Source organism: Homo sapiens, chromosome 4 (genome assembly GCF_000001405.40).
Source record: "Homo sapiens chromosome 4, GRCh38.p14 Primary Assembly".
Classification (NCBI taxonomy): domain Eukaryota; kingdom Metazoa; phylum Chordata; class Mammalia; order Primates; family Hominidae; genus Homo; species Homo sapiens.
In genome coordinates this window covers 146,264,328-146,284,652 of record NC_000004.12, presented here as the reverse complement: position 1 = coordinate 146,284,652, position 20,325 = coordinate 146,264,328, and the positions used below count along the sequence as shown (strand labels likewise).

Below are 20,325 nucleotides of genomic sequence, written 5' to 3'. Positions count from 1 at the left end.
CATGGGGAATCCTCAACTGAAGTGAGACACCAAAAATTCAGTTTGAAAGTTACCAAGAAACAGCTTAGAAGTACAACTGGTTAGGAAGCAGAAACATGCATGCCTTTTCAGAAGAGAGACCAAAGGCCATTTTAAATATTCTCTTGACACAGGCACAGGGGATGAGGAAGCAGGGTGGGGTGATGGGGGAACCCGGCGGGGAGTTGAGGGGACTCTTCTCTCCTCCTGTGGGTATACAACAAGAAAAACAGGATGTGGGATCTATTTAGGGAAGAGTTTTCTCCCAGCAAAAGTCGTGCATGGGGATGAGATTACTAAGGGAAATGATTGGGTCTCTTTCATTAGGGAGCCTTAAAAATCAGGTACATTGTTATATCTGCAACTGTATAGATGGAGTCAGTTTCTAGAACATTTTTCCATTTGCTAACTCTTCTGTCAGAGTTCAGAGCAGGGAATGAATAGACTCTATATAGTCAAATCCTGATATCCTGACTCCACAGGAAAGAATAGTTTCTAAAATATAAGGGCACAATCATAACAATGACATTTTTAACTTTTTTGGCTTTCTAAACCCTTATTATCTAAAACAGGAAATCTGATTATGACATCCAATTCCCAGTACTGACTCCCCACAACATTTAATTAGTTTTGACTCAGTGAGGTTTTTTTTAATGTTTAACATAGTATATAACAATAGTAGAATATAGTAATTAAGAACACAGGCCTGGGAACTAGACTCTGTTTGAATCCTGGCTCTGTCACTTACTACCATGGGCCCTGAGTACATTATACACTTCTGTGTGCCTCAGTTTTCTCATCTGTAAATAGGAACATTACATCACTTGCCTTTTGGGGTTGTTGCTTTTACATGTAAAGACATTAGAGAAATGCCTATACATGATACTGCTCAAAAAATGATAATTTGTTTTTACTAAAATATATGATGTTAAATCTTTTTTCATACCCTGTATTCTTAAGTGTGTGTTTGCTACCAAAAGGATGTGTTGCTCCTTGAAAAGAGCATTTTTAGAGATATATTTATCCTTTCAAGCCACTGGGTAAATTTCAAGTGGTAACCTAGAGACTTAGAGTTCCTTGTTGCATTATTTTTATAATCAGTCCTGCTCCAGGGGCTGATTATATACGTGATCTTAGGCGACCTCCACCACACATTTTTACAACTGTTCTCCTTTTCATGGATAAATGACTCAGAAGTAGTTCTCTAAAAAGAAATCCAGACACTTCTGTACATTTGGGTGTAGAATTACTACTGTCACCAGGATTGATCAAAGGGATGTTAACATAAAGGTAGGTACTACATTTGATTTTGAATGTGTTAAATTGGCTTTTTATAAAAGTATTTGTCAAAATCTTTTTTTGCCCCTAGGAATAATTCGGGTTTCACACCAGCAGACACAGTGGCTATCATTTTCTGTTCTACACACAAATCCCTTACATTGGGTAAGTGATTCACAGAGTTAAAAACCACCTATTACCCTCATATAGTTACATCTTATGACTTTGATATTCAAAGAACTCTTCAAATTAAATGGAATGGGGTGTTGTCCACACTATTAGATAAGGAACAGTAGCAAAGTGAGGGTGGGTCATTGCTTTGAAATTCTGTTATTTGATTGAACAAATCTCTGTGGGCCAAAATTAACACTGTAAAACTTAGCTTAATTTATAATCATATTTTCAATTCTCATACAAGATTACCAATGTAGAATGTAACATTAGAGCAGGGGTGGAGATGCTGTGGAAACTACTTCTAAATAGGGAATTGGCAAAAACATTGCTTTGGCAGGCCCTAGAGTTGTCCCTGGAAAAGATTAACTTATTTTCCAGCAGCTCAGAGCAAGGTGGGAATAATGTTATTACTCTAATTTGATATTGACATTAGTTTGATGCTTATTTCTGAATGTTATTTCTATAAAGAAACAATATAGTTATCATTAACTCAATCAGATTAGCACTAAAAGTGAAATAAGTATTTATTTAATGGACAAAAATGGATTAAGAAGAAAAGTGCTATTTTCTACTTAGCTTTATCCAATTAGTGGCATTATCCCAATAACCTGTTACACATCCGGAATCTATGTTTTTAGTCATTAAAAGTCATTAAGTAATCAGAAGCTTTATTGAAATATACATCAGTCACAAACTCCTTGGGGTGGTGGGCATGTTATGGCAAAAACTCATATTAAAAATTTCTCTACATTTTAGCACATGAGTCACTTAAGAGAATGAAGAATCATTACAATGTTCTTAGTCTGCTTATGTTAAGGAAATTCAGTCTGTGAACTAGAAAATGAAGACATTTCATAATGTTTTTATTAATCCCAAACATATTTGTCTGATAGTCTACTGTCAGTCTTACCAAGTTTGGAACATGATTTAGAAATTGGACAAACCCTTAGGAGCAGTTGTTATTGAGAGCTTCAGCTTATTTGAATTATATATATATAGTCTATGCACTGCTCTATTTTTGTATCTGTGTAGCTATAATCATCATTAAATTGAAGTTGAAACAGTCTTAGAAACCATATTCCAATCCTAATTTTGTGACCTTAGACAAATCAATTAACTTCCCTGAACCTTAACCTTTTCATCTGTAGAAGGGGCAGAATAACACTCATTTTGTAAGGCTGTTGTAAAGATTAAAGTCTAAATTTGTTAAGTACCTGGCACAGCACTTGGTAGATAATAGGTAGTCAATAAATGACAAGATGTGTGCAATAATCATACTGTAAGTAGATTGATGTGGACTACATGAGAGAGCCCATCTAATAGCTTGCTGTGCTGCCTGGCACTTGGTGAGTACTCTATAAGGTGTAGCTATTCTTATTGATTACTAATAACTATGTTAGTTACAACTATGTTACCACTCCCAAGGTTCGAGTCTCCTGACCCCTGTCTTGTAGATTTTCATGTAACAAGTGTATTTTAGTTGTTGACCTCAAGGAAATCATCTTACACTTCTTTCCCATGTGTGTTATTGTCATGTACTGCCTGGTGTCTCAGGTCTTCTAAAACCAGAGGGACTTTTATAAAGTTAGTGAGTCCAGAGGCAGATGCTGCCAGACTCCTCAGATACACAGAGTGCAGGGATCGAATGAGCCTGTATCCTTAGAGCATAGGCCGAACCATGGCTGCACCAAATACATTCCCACATTTCTGCAACAGGCTTGCAAACCTGACCCACTTTTTTTTTTTTCTATTTTGAAGATTGTTCTTATTTTTCTTTTTTTTTTTTGATTTTACTTCAAGTTCTGGGATACTTTTAAGGACTTGCTTTTGTCAGGAAAACCAGAAAGGGTTTTCTCTGTTTCTCTGTTCTGTGCTAGAGCTAGTTGTGCTGAACAAAGAGCAAAACGCATACTCAGGAAGCACACAGCAGTGTGAACAGTGTGCTTTTCTATAAGCAGAATATCTACCCATTCAGGGTTTTTTGTCTTTTTATTTTTCTTAATCCTAAAGTCATATTTTCTGTCCTTTGTACTCTCCAAAAGCTAATTTTCAGGCAAACAGATAGGTGCTATGAAGTAGTTGTTTTGCTAAAAAGGGTTGGGTTAAATTGGATTTCTGTTTGCTTTTGCAGTGTTCTACCATGAAATAGATCCTCCAATATGATGCTGTACTAGTGTAATATCTATGTAATCCTTAGCTACTTTCATAACATGATAGACATAGGCTGTCTTGGAATTATAAGACCTAAATACTCATCCTGGCTCTTCCACTGATACTTTCCTGGGCCTCAGTTTCCTTGGTTCTAAAATTAGGTAATTTTACTTCCAGCTCCAATATTCTGTCATCCCTTGATCATATTTGGCTTCTGTCTTACAGTCTCTTAGATAGTATTTATGAAAATGCCCTCTTTGCTGCTTCCCTTATCTCAGACAGATCACCGCTATTTCCCCCATACAGCAAGGGATGTTTAGATACTAATGCTAGAATGTTCTTGTTAAGCACTATAAATTTACTGTATCCATTTTCACAAGATCCAATGCATGGATCTACTGGTGACCTGACATCTCTGGTACAGAGGATAGGCCATGACAGTGACCTGAGATATAGGCTGATAATAGTCCTAATGGAAATTCTTTTTTGTTTGTTTTTATTTTTAATAAACTTTATATTTTTAAAGCAGTTTAAGGCTCACAGCAAAATTGAGTGGAAGGTATAGAGATTTCTCACATACTGCTTGATCCCATACACACACAGCCTCCAAAATATCAACATCCCTGCATGGAAATGCAAGAACATCACAAGGAGTATGAGGACTTCATAGTCCAGAAAGCAAGGGGAAATTTTAGGTAATATCAGTTAGAGTTATATTTTCTCTCACTGCTGACACAAAGATGAAATATAACAGATTATAATATAACTATTTGGCACTTTAAAAATGCATCTTTCCATTTGCAGTCACTATCATAGTATTTCTTCTGATTATATATGTGTGTGTATATATGTGTATACACATCTTTAACATCTCACGTAGAATACATTAAGTGAAATATAAAATACCATTCATTATTATATCTAGTATTTGTATTCAAGAATAAATCATTGCAGGCCAAGAGGCAACCATGTAACTAATAAACCAAACATGAAAACTCTTGCTTGAGAAGCTTTCTGAGTATTCTCTTATATACACCTTCGATTTATTTTATTGTTCTTGCTTTTGCCCTATCTCGATCTCTTCCTTGTACTTGCATCTACACACATGCTGAATTTGATTCATTGCTTTTATTAGTGCATTTGCCATTGATTGATTAGTTCTTCGTATTAGTACTTTTTCTATTGATTGATTGCAGATGAAGTGACTATTTGACCTTTAATTATAAGGCTTCCTATTGAAAATGACATTGAGCTATGGCTTCACATAATCCATCTGGAAAGCCTGACATGATGCCATTCCCTGGAGTTCGTTCAGGAAGAAAGAGGAGGCCTGAAGGAAGTGCAGAGCTATCACTGTGCTTCATCTAAAACAATACTACAGGGCTTGTTTGCTGCTCTCCTATAGTTTCAGCTCAGGGTTGGAGGTAATTTTATATTTTGTCAAGACAGCATCACTTGCTGTGGGTTGCCATAAAAGCCATGAACTCTCCCAAAGTATTCTCTAGTTTGATGGCAATTTTTATGTAATAATGAAAAGATATTTTACATAGCAGAGATTGAAGAACAGCTTGTATCCTAGTTAATAATGGCTTAGTGCACAGTCAGTCAATAGATCTCGTCAAGAAAGAAATTAGATCCAAGATATCCTGTAGAATTGGCATTTTACTACCATCTTATTTATCTTTTTCTCTTGAGTATTCAAATCACTTTGCTTATCTAGGGTTCCAATATATGCAGAAAACTTTCTCACGATACTTAGCAAGCAAATGTTTCAGGACATTTGAGGTCCTTAAGTTAAGCATGTTTGTGTTAGTTTTTAATGTTTTTAAATAGCAAACTGAAAGCACATAACCTCAGAGTATGTCAGCTGACTATTAGCAGTCAATGGCAAGACTCCAAATTTCTTATTTCCAAAAGTACTTCTGAATTGAATGAATGCTAATTAAATATTAAATAGAGTACCATCATCAATGCTTATTAAAAGTCCACTGTATATCTTGCCATTTACAGACATTTGTGTACAAAGGCAAATCAAGGAAACTATTTCTTACATTGTTTATATGTACTTAATTATGGGTCTAGTTGCAGTTACACAGCTGAACTATGACAAGAACCTGTGCACTAAGCTAAAAGAATATAGCTTTCTGGTAGACATAGGATAAAGAGCACATCCCTGATTCTAGTCTGGATTCCTGTTCCAGTTCTCTCACCAAAAGCTGGAACAAATCACTTAATTGCCATAGGCCTCATTTCCTCATCCATACAATGAGAAGATGGACAAAATGACACTTGAGATTCCTTCCAGTATTAAGTTTCTGTGAGTCTGTGACTGATATTTCTGCTCTATGAAATAACAAGTTTCCCTATTATGTGCGCAAAGGAAATAAGTTCTTGAAAGGAATAGTTATATAAATAATGTTAACATATTACAGAAAAGGAAATATGTCTATAGCTTCTTCCTAAAGAGGTTAAAAAATACCTTCAGACCCTCCAAACTGTCTTAGGAGAAACATAATCTTAAAAGGATCTTGTTTTCCATTTGATTGGAAGTTTCTTAGGAATGTTAAAGAATTACCTACAACTTCGGCTAAAAATCTCATTTAATAACATTTGAGTCATTTTGTCAAGAGGAAATTGATTTGAAATACAAAAGTTTGCATTTCTGGTATTATTTTCCACACAAAGCCTATTCTACTTGGTACATAAAGAATCTTATCTTAATAAAACTACTCTACAATTGGTCTAAAAGATTAAAGCTCTTAACCCTGTAATATAATGTTACCTAAACAATCTTGAATATTAGCAAGTCAGTAATTGTTGCCTTATTGTGCATAAAAATAAATGAAAGCATAGAAAAAAAATCTTTAAACTTATCCCAGATCATATCTCAGAAACTATATTCCAGGCCTCCTAACTTCCAGAACTGCATTGGATTATAGGATATGAAAACACTTTGAAGACCAAAAATTGCTTTACTGGATCCAAGTATTATAAATATTTGATCTTCGCATGGGTTTGAATTGTTTTATTAATTGTTTAAAAAGAAAATTATTTCTGATTACACTGCTGGTTATAAGACAGTTCTAAAATACTTAACAAATGTAATTGCTCCTATAAACATATACTCCATGTGGCCCAGTCATAAACTGATACTCATTTCTTACATTTTCTTTATTATTAATAAAATAAAAAGTTATATTCTATTTAAAGTAGATCTAGTGAGCCAGCCTTACCTTTCATGAGGCAACACTGTCTGCACTCCATTCTTGCAAACTAAGAGCCACATTGCCGTTTCACAGTAACCCATTAAAGTTGAAATAGAAATCCAGAGGAACGACAGAAAATAGAAGACTATCTTTGGAGTGTAGCCATAAATATATTCCTGTCATGCAATTTCCTTCAGAGTTACAGTTCTGTGAGGAAAGGCAGTTTGGGAGTCTTTGCCATTTGACAGATTCTTAAAGATGCTGCTAAAATTATGGACCTAGTAGATTTTTACCACCAGGCTAAAGAAAAGTGAGGGAGTGTCTGTCATTTTGTGCTATTATTTTCTGATCCACATAAAGAAAGAGAGAAATGGAAGTTCTCAAACAAAGTGATACAATAATATTCTTTAGAGATTTTTGAACTATTTTTGGTTTGGATTTTTTATTCAGAATATGGTATCTGAAAATCATTGCTAGCATATCTAGACTTTGCAATCAAAATTTAGAAAGTCCCCAGGGTTCTAGACAGCAGGTATGAAATTAAAGATATTAAAGCTTCTCTGAAAGATCTCCAGCTTGACCCTCAAGTATCATTCATCTTAATGATATGCCAGATGTTCACCCTGATACTCTCATGCTCTATTCCTCCTCTTCTTCCTCCACGTCAAATGTTTTTAACCACAATCTACATTTAGAAATATATTTTACAATGTGATCCAGAATTGATTTTGTAGCTCACTAATGGGTCACAACCCAAGGTCTAAAAAAGATTGCTTTATAGCTTGCTTAGCGAGAAGGTTTTACCTTCTTCCTCAAATAGTCACCACGTAGGCTTTGGCTTCTGCTGTCCCTTTTTCAGTGGATTTTTTTTTTTTAGATGGAGTCTCACTCTCACTCAGGCTAGAGTGCGGTGGCATGATCATAGCTCACTGCAGCCTCCAACTCCTGGGCTCCAACCATCCTCCTACCTCAGTCTCCTGAGTAGCTGGGGCTACAGGCCTGAGCCACCATGCCTGGCTAATTTTTAAAAATTTTTTTGTAGAGACGGGGGCTTCGTTATGTTGCCCAGGCTGATCTTAAACTCCTGGCCTCAAGCAATCCTCCCACCTCAGCCTCTCAAAGCACTGGGATTACAAGTATGAGCCACTGCACCAGGCCTTCACTGAACTTTAACCCAAATTTCTGATACCATGTAGGAAGCAGAGCTAAATTAAGACTTAAAGTGATTCTTAATTTGCATAAGATTTCTTTTATTTAGATTATTATTTTATTCAGCTTATGTAACAGTTTTTATACCTTTTTTGATTTACTCAACACATTTTCAATAGTAATAATAGCAGCAAACATTAATTGGGCATTTAATAGGTAAACATTGTGCAAAGTGCTAGTTACATAAAGTTTACTTTAAAATACTTCTCTGTGGACAGTGTGGTAATTATGTATGTACTTGTTAGTTTAGACTTCAGTGCCAGGAACAGCCAATTGCTCTAACAGAAAATTTTCACTGTAGTGTTCAGCCACAACTTTATCAGAAGGGAAATACTCACTCCAGAGGCAGCTACAACAAATACTTTTGTTATATCTCTATCAACCAGAGACCTTACTAATTAGCATAATGAATACAGAAATTCATTATTTTGATTGGTGAAATTACTGACTTGTTACTTTGCATGATAAATGTAATAAATGGGTTCTCATTGATATCTGGACTGCCTAAAAGTTTGAGAGAGACTTCCCACTTGCTATAAGAATCTGGCAAATCCCATAGTCTACATATGAAACCATCAGGGATGTGCGGGAGTGATCCCTACCTCATTTTGTGTCCAGCTACTGTTGGGAGGATCTGTGGTTTCCTGAATCTGACTGGAAGATCACCAAATTCTGCTCTGGAATGTCATTACGTAGCTTTGAGGGACCCTCTCATGCAAGGTGCTCTGAGAGCACCTAAAAGGTCCAAGCTGAGACTGCCATTTTATAGGGTAGGTTGCATAAAATATTTTTGTGTTGAACTACTAGTGTATGTTGAGTTTAAAAAAAAAAAAAAACTTCTATGGGGGCAACAACTTACTTTCATTAAAACCTGCTGGCAAAATTATAGTAGTACAGCTAAGCTTCACCTACCTTAAACTTCCTTTGGCCTTGTCTGCTGGAATACCTTATCTCCTGCTTATACCTTATCTGCTGGAAAGAATCCAGAACTTATACATGACCAGCTTGGTGTAGGTCACTTCCCATAAATACTTTGTGGGCACCAGCTCACATGACTTCCACAATCACACTAGATAAGGGAAGTTCCCAAGTGATCCATGACTTGCCCAAGTCACATGATGCCAAGTGGCAGAGCCAGAAATCAAGCCCAGGCCTAGCTATTAGCCACCATGCTAAGCTGTAGTGAGAGTTCTGCAGAAAGAGCCCTGTGCTGTGAAACATCTCAACCCTGTGGTCCACTGGCTATGAAAAGTTCAGACTAGATGATCTCTGGGGCTCTTCTAGCTCTACTATTCAGTAATTCTGATTTTGAAGGGCTTAAGTATGTAGCTTTAGAATCTTGAGCCCTTTGGATGGACACCATAGACCAGCATTTCTCAAAGAGTGATCCTCAAAATTATAGCACATTGTTTCTTAAAAGAAATAAAAATTTAAAAACAAAACAGATTTGCTCAAGCCTACTGATTCTGAATTTTAAGGATAAAACCCTGATGTCCGACACATGTAACATATTTCAAAAGAGGGTATCATGCACATTAAAGTTTGAAAGCCACTCATTATTGCCATCTAGAGTCACCTCTCAGGTTTCAGATGTGCTAGCTCATGTACCCAGATTCTTAGGAAGCTTTGATCTAGCAGAATATTCAGTCAGGTTTTGTGTAGGTGCATTTTGATGACAGTAGGAACCAGTTTCAGTCAACTCTGGGTGGTTGGTTGTTGTTTTTCTTACTTAAGACTGGCCACAATATACCCCACTTTGAAATACTTTATATTCCATCATCAGCCAAAAGAATATCCTTATGACATAACTACTTATGACATACTACTAAGTATTGTATAATAATAAGCAATCATTTAAAACAAATGCAGTAGGCCCGGACCCTAATTTCCAGGAATCACCTTCTTCCTCATTCCATGGTTTCAATATATGATATTGTGGTCCTGTCTAGGAAGGATAAAAACCTGGCTCCAGTTTTTCTAATTTGTAGCTGTGGTTACCACATTTTGCCTAACTTCGAATGTCCTTTTGAGTTTCATTTGTATTAATCTGGTTAAACAACAGTATTTGGATGTAAAAGTATGCCAGTATTTTATTAATATAAGGTATAATCTAGGCCAGGCACGGTGGCTCATGCCTGTAATCCCAGAACTTTGGGGGGCGGAGGCTGGTGGATCACCTGAGGTGAAGAGATTGAGACCATCCTGGCCAACATGGTGAAACCCTGTCTCTACTAAAAATACAAAAACTAGCCAGGCGGGGTGGCAGGCACCTGTAATCCCAGCTACTTGGGAAGCTGAGGCAAGAGAATCACTTGAACCCGGGAGGCAGAGGTTGCAGTGATCCAAGATCATGGCACTGCACTCCAGCCTGGGTGACAGAGTGAGACTCCGTCTCAAAAAAAAAAAAAAAAAAAAAGTATAATCTGAACAAAAGAGAACCACCCATTTAGTGCCCAAAATACCTAGCACTCCCTCCAGAAGCAGCTTGCTTTCTTTAAGATCATGTCTTCCTGGCAAGCTGAGGGCAAAACTGAAGCATATTTAAAATAAATTCAGAATGCCATTTGAAAGTTATCCTTATATAAATCCCTTTATGAAAGGGGACCTAGGTGATTTTTTTAAAACTCTTACAACACAATTATTACTGTAGAAAGATTTTTTTAAAACAAAGAACAGGAGATGGAATCACTGCTTCCCAGAAGTCAGTGTTCTGAAAGGGGCAGTAGACCAAATATGATCATGAGCACTTACCAAGAATACAGGGCTTGTAAACAGATGAGGCCAGTGGGAGTTTGGGCAGCATCGGCGGGAGGGAGTTTCAGTTCCCAGGGCAGTCCACAGCATCACCATCTGCAGTGTTTTAGAAGTGCTGCACACCTCATCCTGAATGATCTCAGTGACAAGCCCCTCCCTGGCCAGTCCTGGTAGACTGCTAAATTTGAGCCCCATAATACTATTTCATAATGCTACTTCTTATAATAATAATAACAACAACAGCAACAATAATAATCCTAATAGCTATCATTTTGGGGATGCTCACTCTATGCCAGGTACTATACTAGGTACTTCCCATACACTGTCTCACTTGAAACCTCTAACCACCCTTCGAGATAGTTATTTTAACCTCATTTGAGTCAGATGTGGAAACTGAGGGGGGTTAGGGTAAGATCATCTGCTTATATAGCTGGTGGGTGGTACAGTGAGGATTTAAACTCAGGTCTCTAATTTCAAAGCCCACGTCCTTTCCATCACACCACCCAGCCCTCTAGATGTACCTATGAGTGGCGTGTTAGCTATCTGATGCTTGCTCAGCCTGAGTGATGGAGCAGGAACAAGAGGGGCCAAGTGCTTGCATGTGTCAGCTTCATTCTAGCTAAGCTCTACCTGCAGTTGTCACCTACAGCTCAATGGCAAGGAGACATGAAAAATCCCACATATTGTACAGTGGCACCTCACAGTATATTGAATCCTTGTCACTGCGCTTCCTAATGACAGCTCTTAGCATTAGAAGCTTTTAATTCCATAGTTTCCTATTAATTTCAAACTAAAAAATACCTTATAATAGAGATGGCTCTAAAGAGATTAATTTTACCCATTAAAAATCAACTCACATGCCCTCAGTGCTCCTGAAAGGGGAATTCCAAAGTAATGAGGGGCACACTTTCTGTTGTTCTGGAGCTTGTCCCTTCTGATGAAGACTTTGCCACATCCAGAAGACCAGAACAGCCTGTTTCCTGGAAATCCCTGTTCATCTGTGCACTCGCTGTCAGTTGCAGAGGGATTTGTTTATTATTATTATTAATATTTAGAAAGTTTACCTCTAGCAGTACTAAAATGTGCATCACAAAACAACACTCATTTACTGCGTTTGAAGTGAAGACTCTCACCCAGGAGAGCCCATCCACTTAAAGTTTGTATCTCTCAATTTCAACTTGCAAACAGAGATCGATAAAAAACAATTGTCCTTTCAGAGTTGCATCTCTCCAATTATTTATTTGGTCATGTCTCTTCCTAGAAGTTCTCTTAATTGAACCAGACACTAGAAACCAGGTTGAGTGTCTTTAATGACAGCCCGCTCCATGCTTCTTTGCAGTAAAGAATACATGAGCCTACAGCTGCAAAGCAAGGGTAACAGTTTCCCCTTGTATGTCCCCATTTACAGCCCCATCCAAACAACTCCAGCCAGAAATTAAAGTTAGCTACCCACTTTTTCAAGCTATGGGGTACCCAGTAGGTTTTTGACAAGTTACCCTAGGGGCAGGAGGAGATATAAAATTGGACACAACTCAAAAGATTCCTGGGCCCCAGGAAGCCAGCTGATTTGGAATGTCATCTGTACCGAAGCTGAGCATGTTAATGAAATTGTAGCTGTGACACTTCCCAGGGCTGCCTTTGCTACAAGTTTGCTCTATACAGTGCCAATGAAAAGATGCTTTTAAAACATAATCTACATCATCCATTCATTCATTCAGCAAGTGTTTATTTGGTACTTACTATGTGCCCTGCTCTAGGCTGTAGGGGGACAGCAGTGAACAAAACACCAAAAAAGTTCTTGCCCTCATCTAGCTTCCAAAATTTCTAGTGGGAATAAGCAGACACTTGAATATACAGGACATCAGATGGTGGTAAGCAATGGAGAAAAAGAAAACCAGAAAGGAGAATCAGGAATGCCAGGGTGGAGATGAGAAGGTTTCAGCCTTAAAGGGCACATTGGGTCAAAATACCTGAAGGAAATAGGGAGCAAGCCTGTGGATATTTCGGGGAAGGAGATTCCAAGGAGAAGGAACAGTGAAGGCAAAGACCTGAGGCAGCAGTGCGCTTGGCATGTTGGAGGAAGGAGGAGGAAGCTCACCTTGGGAGCAGAATGAGTGAGAGATAGGAGACCGGGGAATGGTAATGGGAGAGGGGCCAATAATATTGTGTTAGGCCTTATTGGCCATTGTAGGGACTTGCCTCTTACTCAGAATGAGAGGGGAAGCCATTGGGGGTTTTGAATTGATGAGGGACAAGATCTCACTTCTACTTTGAAAGGATCCCTATGGTTGTTCTGTTAAAAGTAGACTGGGGTTTTGTGGGAAGGTGTGGCAGTGAGAAAGGAAGACTCAAGAGAGAGGCTTTTATCCAGACAAGAGTTTAGGGTGGTTTGGTCAAAGGTAATAGGGGTGGAAGAGTTGAGAAGCTTTGGATTTGAGATCCATTTTGAACACAGAACTAATAGGAATTGCTGGTGAATTGGATATGTAGGTAAAAGAAAGGAATTCAAGATGTTTGGCCTGAGGGGTGTAAGGATCCATTTACTGGCTTAGGGAAGACTGCAGAGGAGCAGATGTTAGTGGTTGAAAGTCATGTGGGAACAGATCAAGAGTTTGGATTTGCACATGTGAAGTTTGATATGTCTTTTTGACATCCAGTGGAGTCTGGAATCCTGATCCAGGCTGAAGTTTGCAGGCTATGGATGTTATTTTAGACTATCAGATTGGATGAGATCACTAAGGGAATGTGTAGAGAAAAGAGCTCCACGGACTGAGAACCTGAGATTCTCCAGAGGACAGAGAGGATATGGAATTATTTTAATAATGAAATGATATGAAAGTCTAAATCAGCCAGACCTATAGACACCCAAACTTGCAAGCCCGTATTCTTCTCCTATCCCACAAGGTTGAAGTGAACATTAAATCACAAAGCAGATGTGAAGACACTTTGAAGTATTAGAAGAAGAGTCTGGCAGTTATTTGGTACCGCCCATGTGCTAGGCACTGCATTAGGCACTTAATTTGCCTTATTAATGCATGTAATCTTTACAATAGCCCTGCACAATAGCTATGCTTGCTCTCATTGTCCAAACTAGAAAACCAAGCCTCAGAGAGGTCAAATAACTCACCCCAGTTCACATAGATAGCAGAGCTGGTGCACCATGGCTGAATTGTCTACCTCCAGAGTCCTCTGACTCCACCGCAATACCAGACCTGGCTCTTTAACCTGGCCCACATTAGAATCACCTGGGAGCTGTGCCGTACTAGTGATGTCAGGACCCTGCCCAACACCTGTTAACTCAATCTGTCAGGATAGGCCCAGGCAGCATAGTTTTTAGAAGCCACCCAGGTGATTCCAATGTGTGGCGGAAGCTGAGAACCACTGCATTTAGACTCGTTTACTCTGTATGCATTTATGTTCTACTAGGTTCCAAAAAGAATGCGAGATGGGTTGTACCTACCCATTGGTTACCAAAACTGACCATTTGTGTACTAATTCTGAACACCAGAATTAGTTGTGTCATAATTAGGTATGTTAAATATTCAGAAGAGAAAACAGAGGAGAATAGAAAAACATAATTATTTTCAGAAGTGACTTCCAGGGTTTTTTAAATTTCTTCTGCCTAGAAGTCTTCTAAATGAGGTCCTAACTGCCAAATGTTTATAATTGTTGAGAATAAATAAAGGCCAAGAGTAGATTATCAGGACATCATCTAGGTTAGATAAATCACAGAAACCTGAGTCAACCTTTTTAAGAGACATGGATCTAAGAACAAATAAGTCTGGTTTTTAATCCCCAAATCAAAACTGCCTCATTCTTTTATGTAGAAGAAATCTCTTCTGAGGCTTTTGTTCAACATAAACACAGTACCATGAAAAGGAAAATTACCACTGGAAGGTAATTAAAGGTCATGTTGACAAAACAAAACAAAATGTATATTAAAAATCGTTAATGTGCATTTGGGTCACAGCCTACTCACATTTACTTTTTAACTAACATTTGGAAGCCTTCTGAAAGTTCCAGTGTCTAAAGATGAAATTATCAATGCAGCCTTTTAGGGAAAACTACATCTAGGTTGTGGGGCAGTGGCAGAGTCAACGAAAGCTCATGTCATACCATCCAGCTTTGCTTTGCATCAGACTCAATAGGTTCAAGTGTTTTTCTTCATTTATATAAAAATACATCTAAAAAACTCTGTAAAATTGGACAACAGTTCCAGAGCCAGTCAGAAGAGGCCAGTTCTGTGTTGGTGACTATGTTAAATATATTCTTTTGACCTTGTGTTATTTTTGTCATATGAAATTCTCATTCTATTTTTGATGTTTTCACATCCTGTGAGTGTGAACATTAGCCAGATTGTCTCTTTAGAAGACTAAACAACTCTTCATTCACAGCCTAGAAAAGGAAAAAGTAATCTCACTACTTCCTGCTAAGCTTGTCTCCATAAACGTGGTGACCCCTCCTGGAAGACCCAGCTAGTATTGGAACGAAGACTTCATGGCTCAGTTCTTTAATTCATTCTTGAATTCCCTGTTTGCTAGTTACTCCTACAATGCTGTCAGACAGGTGAGGGTGTACCTGATCTTCTGAGGCAGAAACCTTCAATTGGTAGAGTTAAATCTTTCATTGTCAGCACCTGGTGAGTCGGCTCAGGCCATTCATTAAACATCTTTTCCAATCACAACATACCTGTTTCAAAACAGAAGCAACACCAGCTGCTCATTTTGGTCTTTTCTTGCATCTTTATTTACATAAAACTTTCAGCAAAGTGATGGGGTTACAGCCTGGGTCGTTGAAGACTAAAACACAATTTTTAATTTTCTTAATGTCCTAAAAATGGTAATCAACCAACCTTTATTCAAAGCCTGCCAAGTAATAAGCACCTTTATTGAAAGGTGTATCTCTCTTGCTTTCAGACTTTTCTGTGTAACGGTTATTTTCCTTACATTTTACCATCCATTATTCTATCTTATTAAAAAGCACCCCTTGCACCCCTTTTTTAGGGTTCCTAAGTACCCTGACAAATTCTTTTCAGGTATTTCAGGCACATAGCATGCAGAGGAGCACAGACTCTAGAGCTAGTCTGTCTGTATTCACACCCCAGCTATGTCCTGATGCTGTGTGTGGCTTTGAGCAAATTTCTATTTACCTGCTGCCTCAATTTCCTTCTCTGAAAAGTGAGGATAACAATGGTAGTTTCACTCATCATGGATGTGAGGAGTGGTTGAGCTGATGCTTGTACACTCTCAGAACAGTGCCTGGCATATAGTAAACGCTGTGTAAGTATTGGCTACAATCAATATTCTGCCTTACCAATAATAAATGAAAACCCAAAATATCTGTGAACTCCAGATAATGGCTTCCGAAGTCCTGTGTAAGGTGTGACTGCTGGAAAACTAGAACATGAATAATGCTCTCTTTTTTCTAAAGGTCTTAGATTACTGGAAAGATCGTTCCTTTCTTTTAATAATGGCCTTAGACATCAAGTTTATGACCTATCTTTGTTAATTTTCCTCCTTTTCCAGGCCTGATTCCTCTTTTTGGATAGAGGAATATTTTTGAATTCTGGTTTTGAAATATGAGGGAAGGCCAAGTCTCTTAGGAAAGTTTTACATAAACATCTACTTAGCATAGCCGAATAGTTCCTGACTACACCAGAAAAGAAGTTTGAGCTTCCAGTCTTTTTAATTGTAGACAGGAAGGTAGGCAGGAGAGCAATAGGAAGGCTCGACAGGAAAGCAGTTTCCTAGTCGGTAGCAAAGGGAAGGTTTAGGTCCAGTTTGTGCAGCACGTTTGGCTGACACGTCCTGTGTGGATTTCAACATGTTCCTTTCCCTCATATGCCACCCACAGAGATCACCCTAAGACACTTTTCAGGCTTCAGAGGTTGGAAACTAAAATTCCATTGGTACATATCTGATAAACTGGTGCAAGATTGTCCTGTTTTTCTGCCAGAGCTCTAGCAAAGGGGGTTTGTCAGACATCCCAGAGGCGCTGCTGTTGGCTTTCTATTTAGCAATTTGGAAATCCTAAATCTAAGTAGATTCAGTGAACCCAACCCTAGGACACTGAGAAAATCATTAAAGAGCTCCAATTTGCATGTATCATTTAGCCACACCTCATTTTGGATATGATTCTTTGTATGAAAAGGATAAAAATGTTCTCTTATGTGTCTCATAAAGCAACAGTAGAGGTTCTGATGCTTGTGCTGGGGTCCTACCAAAGAATTTGGCAGTTTTTAGTTAAAAATGGAATGACACACACAAAAACAGGGAAGCAAGTAAAACATAAATCACTGGCAAGGGTAAGGCAGCACAATCTGCATGTTAAAATACCATGGAGAATTTGAGCAAAAGACCAATCACTTAGATGGGTGCAATGAGAGCAGGTCACGTGATCTGTGATCTTTTACCCCTTCCTGGGGGACTCTGCAGAAAGTTGAGTTGCCAGCCTTTGGAAGGTTCCAGAATGGGTTTGAGGAAAGTCCTAGAATAGTCAGATTATGAACAGAATGGAATTCTGGGGGCTGTGCAGACTAAACCTGCCTGATCCAAAAAGCCACACTGTAGGCTAGTGTAGGGGCAGCACCAGACTGATCTCACAGGCAAGTCATACCCACCACCCTGTAAGGAGGTGGCCTTTCTTTTGACACCCTCTAAAAGGGAGAGAAAATTAAAATGACTGAACTGCTCACTGAATTCATTTTATCTAACATCTTTTTTCATACGACAGTGCTGCATTTTTCCACTGCCCTGTGTAATGATCTTGGTATTGGGTGCAATTGCTCTTTGTGTAACTTTGGCATGGTACAGTCTGTCTTGTCTCCCTATTAAATGAGTAAGAATGTAAGCTCCCATGAGGGCCAGGAATTTTGGTGTATTCACTGCACCTAGAAGAGTGCCTGGCACATAATGGATGAACACTTGCTATATACCAGACATTTTATATTATTTTATTCTTTATTTTTAAAAAATCCAAAAACTGACAAAGTAGGTGCATTTCATTCATGTAAAAACAGGTTAAATAATAACTTGCCCAACCAAGGTCACACAGGTGGTAAATGGTGGTGGACATGAGATCCAAACCCAGGGCTCTCCAGCTTCTGCGCCAAGCTTCTTAACTGCTACACTGTTCAGCCTCAGGCACATTACTGGATATGATCAATGATAAATCCCTGCTTGAAAAACAACTATTATTACTAGAAATTAGCTTGCTTTAGCATAGTCCTAACTGAAAGCCTTTTCTAACCAAATTCCAAAGCCCTTGTTTTACCTTGTCAAGGCATCATTTCATACTCTAAAAAATGTATAATTGCCCCTTTGTTTAGTTATTTGAGATAAATCAGTGGCTGTGAGTTTGACTTTCTGTGACTATTTTGTCTCTGAAGAGAAAGTCTGTGTGTATGTGTGTGTGTGCGTGCATGTGTGTGTGTGTGTGTGTCCATGTGCATGGGCATGTGTGGTGGGTAGGGGCAAAAAGATTGGCATTTGGTGATGTCTGAAGAGTGGCTGTGTTCCTCAATAGCAATTTCCCTCCTGGATTGCACTGTGCTTAAAGGGACCATCTATACCAATGAATTTTAAAGGCAAACATGAGCTTTTCTGAAAGATTCACTAAGGAGGAAGAAATAGAATTCAAATAACAGTGTTAGGACATTTGGATGGTAAACTTATGGATGTTTCTAACTAAGAGCAAACTAAACAAAAGTGAGAAATCACCATGACAACTGAAGAGAGAAGCAACTGGATTCCAGATTTGCCAGCAGCTCTCTCCAAAACCCAGTGAAAAGTCAGAGAAAGCATTTAAATGGAAAACAAGTCATGTAAATTCAGGCGAATGAATCTTTGAAAGACAAGAAATGATCCAGGTGATTGGAGTATACTATCTCATGCTAAGTGGGAAAGTACATGTAATATTAGACTTCAAAAGGCACAACGTGTGTTTTTCAATACATTTTCTTGCTTACTCCATACTTCAGTACTCATTTTGAATTTTGTATTCCTTCGTCAGTCCAGTTTCTTTCCTTCCTGCCATATCAAATCTATTTTTGCCCTGTGAAATATAAGCCTCTCCCAGAGCAGTATGTGAATGCGTTGTCTTTAAAGTCTAGTGAAGCAACTAGTATTTGTTCTAAATCCTATCTTTTTCAACATAGGAAACATTACTTTAGCACCTATTCATAAATAACCAATTATTTATGTATTGAGCACCAGCCCTGTGCTTAAATGTTGCAGGAAATTAAAATAAAAATATAGTGTTTTGCCTATGTTCAGGAAAAATCAAAACCTACACAAAAGAAAATAATGGCAACATCATCAAAGGCTAAATTATGTGATGCATCTAGAACGAGTGGCTTCATTCTTCCAAAAAATGAAGAAATCAATAGGAAAGCCACCTTCATCATGGAGGAAAATAGAAAACTGAGCCTTGGTGACCCCAAAGGATTTAGGTATATGGAGAAAAATGCAGGGCTCAGCTTTAACAAGGATTAAAAAGTGCCAGCCCTGAGCCAGTGATAGCAATTGGCAAGTGAAACTTTGGTTTAATGCAGTTAACACAGCTTAGAGATTAAAAGTAAACACACTGGGGTCCAATTCTGCCTCCACTGCATACCAGCGTAGGCCATTAGGCAAGGTACTTAACTGCTCTAAACCTCAGTTTCCTCATCTTTTAATGGGAAAATTGCCACCTACTTCCTAGATCTGTTGTAAGGCTTAAAGGAGATGGTGCAGGCAGAGCACTTAGCATCCAGTAGTGCTTACATAATAGTGGTAGTAATGATTGTTTTTTACTGAAGTCGAATAAGTAGAGGATTTGATGAATGGACACTGGAAAGTCATTGGAGCTCTTGAGCAGGGTATTGGCTTTAATGACTGTGGATTTGGGGAATATTAATCTCACTGTGATTTGTAGGATTGATGAGGGAAGAGTCTGAAGACAAGGAGTTATGTCAGAAGGCTATAAGTATAATCTTAGCTTAATTTTATGAGGAGCTGAATTAGGAAGATGGCAGTGAAAACTGAGGGGAAAAGGGACTGGTAAATGAGGAAAAAAATCTACAGAATTTGGTAACTTAATCTAGAGGTGGAAGAACAAATAGAATTTGTCAAAGATGATCCCCGAACTTTGGGTGGTAGAAAGTAGGTAAGCTAGTGACAGTAGGAGTTGCAGGGGCTGTAGGAGTTGCAGTTGCAGCAGGAGTTGTGAGGGGCTGGCACTCACCCATCTAATTGTAGAAAGCCAACATGGTTAGGACAAATGCTATGAGAAGGCAGCACCCAAGAAAGTAGGCACCTTGTCTGGGCCATTCTCCTGATATCCCTACCACCTAGACCAGTAACTCACATATAGCAGAGGCCCAAAAAGTATTTTGTTAATGAATGAATGAATGAATGAATGAATGGTAGGAACATAGCACACCTACACAAGTAAGTAAGCTCTGAACAATAATGTAAAGTAGATCATTTTATGTTGTGAACAATAGAGCAGCCTTCAGTGGAAGTTAAATAAAAGTCCATATTTAATCTAAGAAGAA

The 20,325-nt window shown here is 38.4% G+C and overlaps 1 protein-coding gene across 10 annotated transcripts in view, besides 2 other annotated features; it reads left to right on the top strand.

Moving 5' to 3' along the window:
• Window positions 1-20,325, top strand: part of SLC10A7 (solute carrier family 10 member 7) — a 267,960-nt gene that overhangs the window by 237,288 nt on the left and 10,347 nt on the right. For all 10 annotated transcript variants that reach the window (XR_007057973.1, NR_133924.2, XR_001741332.3 and 7 more), the window contains one exon: window positions 1,388-1,461. Coding sequence is in view for 6 of the 10 variants with exons in the window: in NM_001317816.2 (NP_001304745.1) it covers window positions 1,388-1,461 (74 nt within the window). In the remaining 4 variants the exon portion in view is untranslated. The remainder of the gene's footprint in view (window positions 1-1,387; window positions 1,462-20,325) is intronic.
• Window positions 10,903-11,112: an enhancer, noted in NCBI's record as "active region_21982". NCBI's record gives its function as "activates an Ori minimal core promoter by ATAC-STARR-seq in GM12878 lymphoblastoid cells {active_cell/tissue: GM12878}" and the evidence as "EXISTENCE:reporter gene assay evidence [ECO:0000049][PMID:35858748]".
• Window positions 15,336-15,395: an enhancer, noted in NCBI's record as "active region_21981". NCBI's record gives its function as "activates an Ori minimal core promoter by ATAC-STARR-seq in GM12878 lymphoblastoid cells {active_cell/tissue: GM12878}" and the evidence as "EXISTENCE:reporter gene assay evidence [ECO:0000049][PMID:35858748]".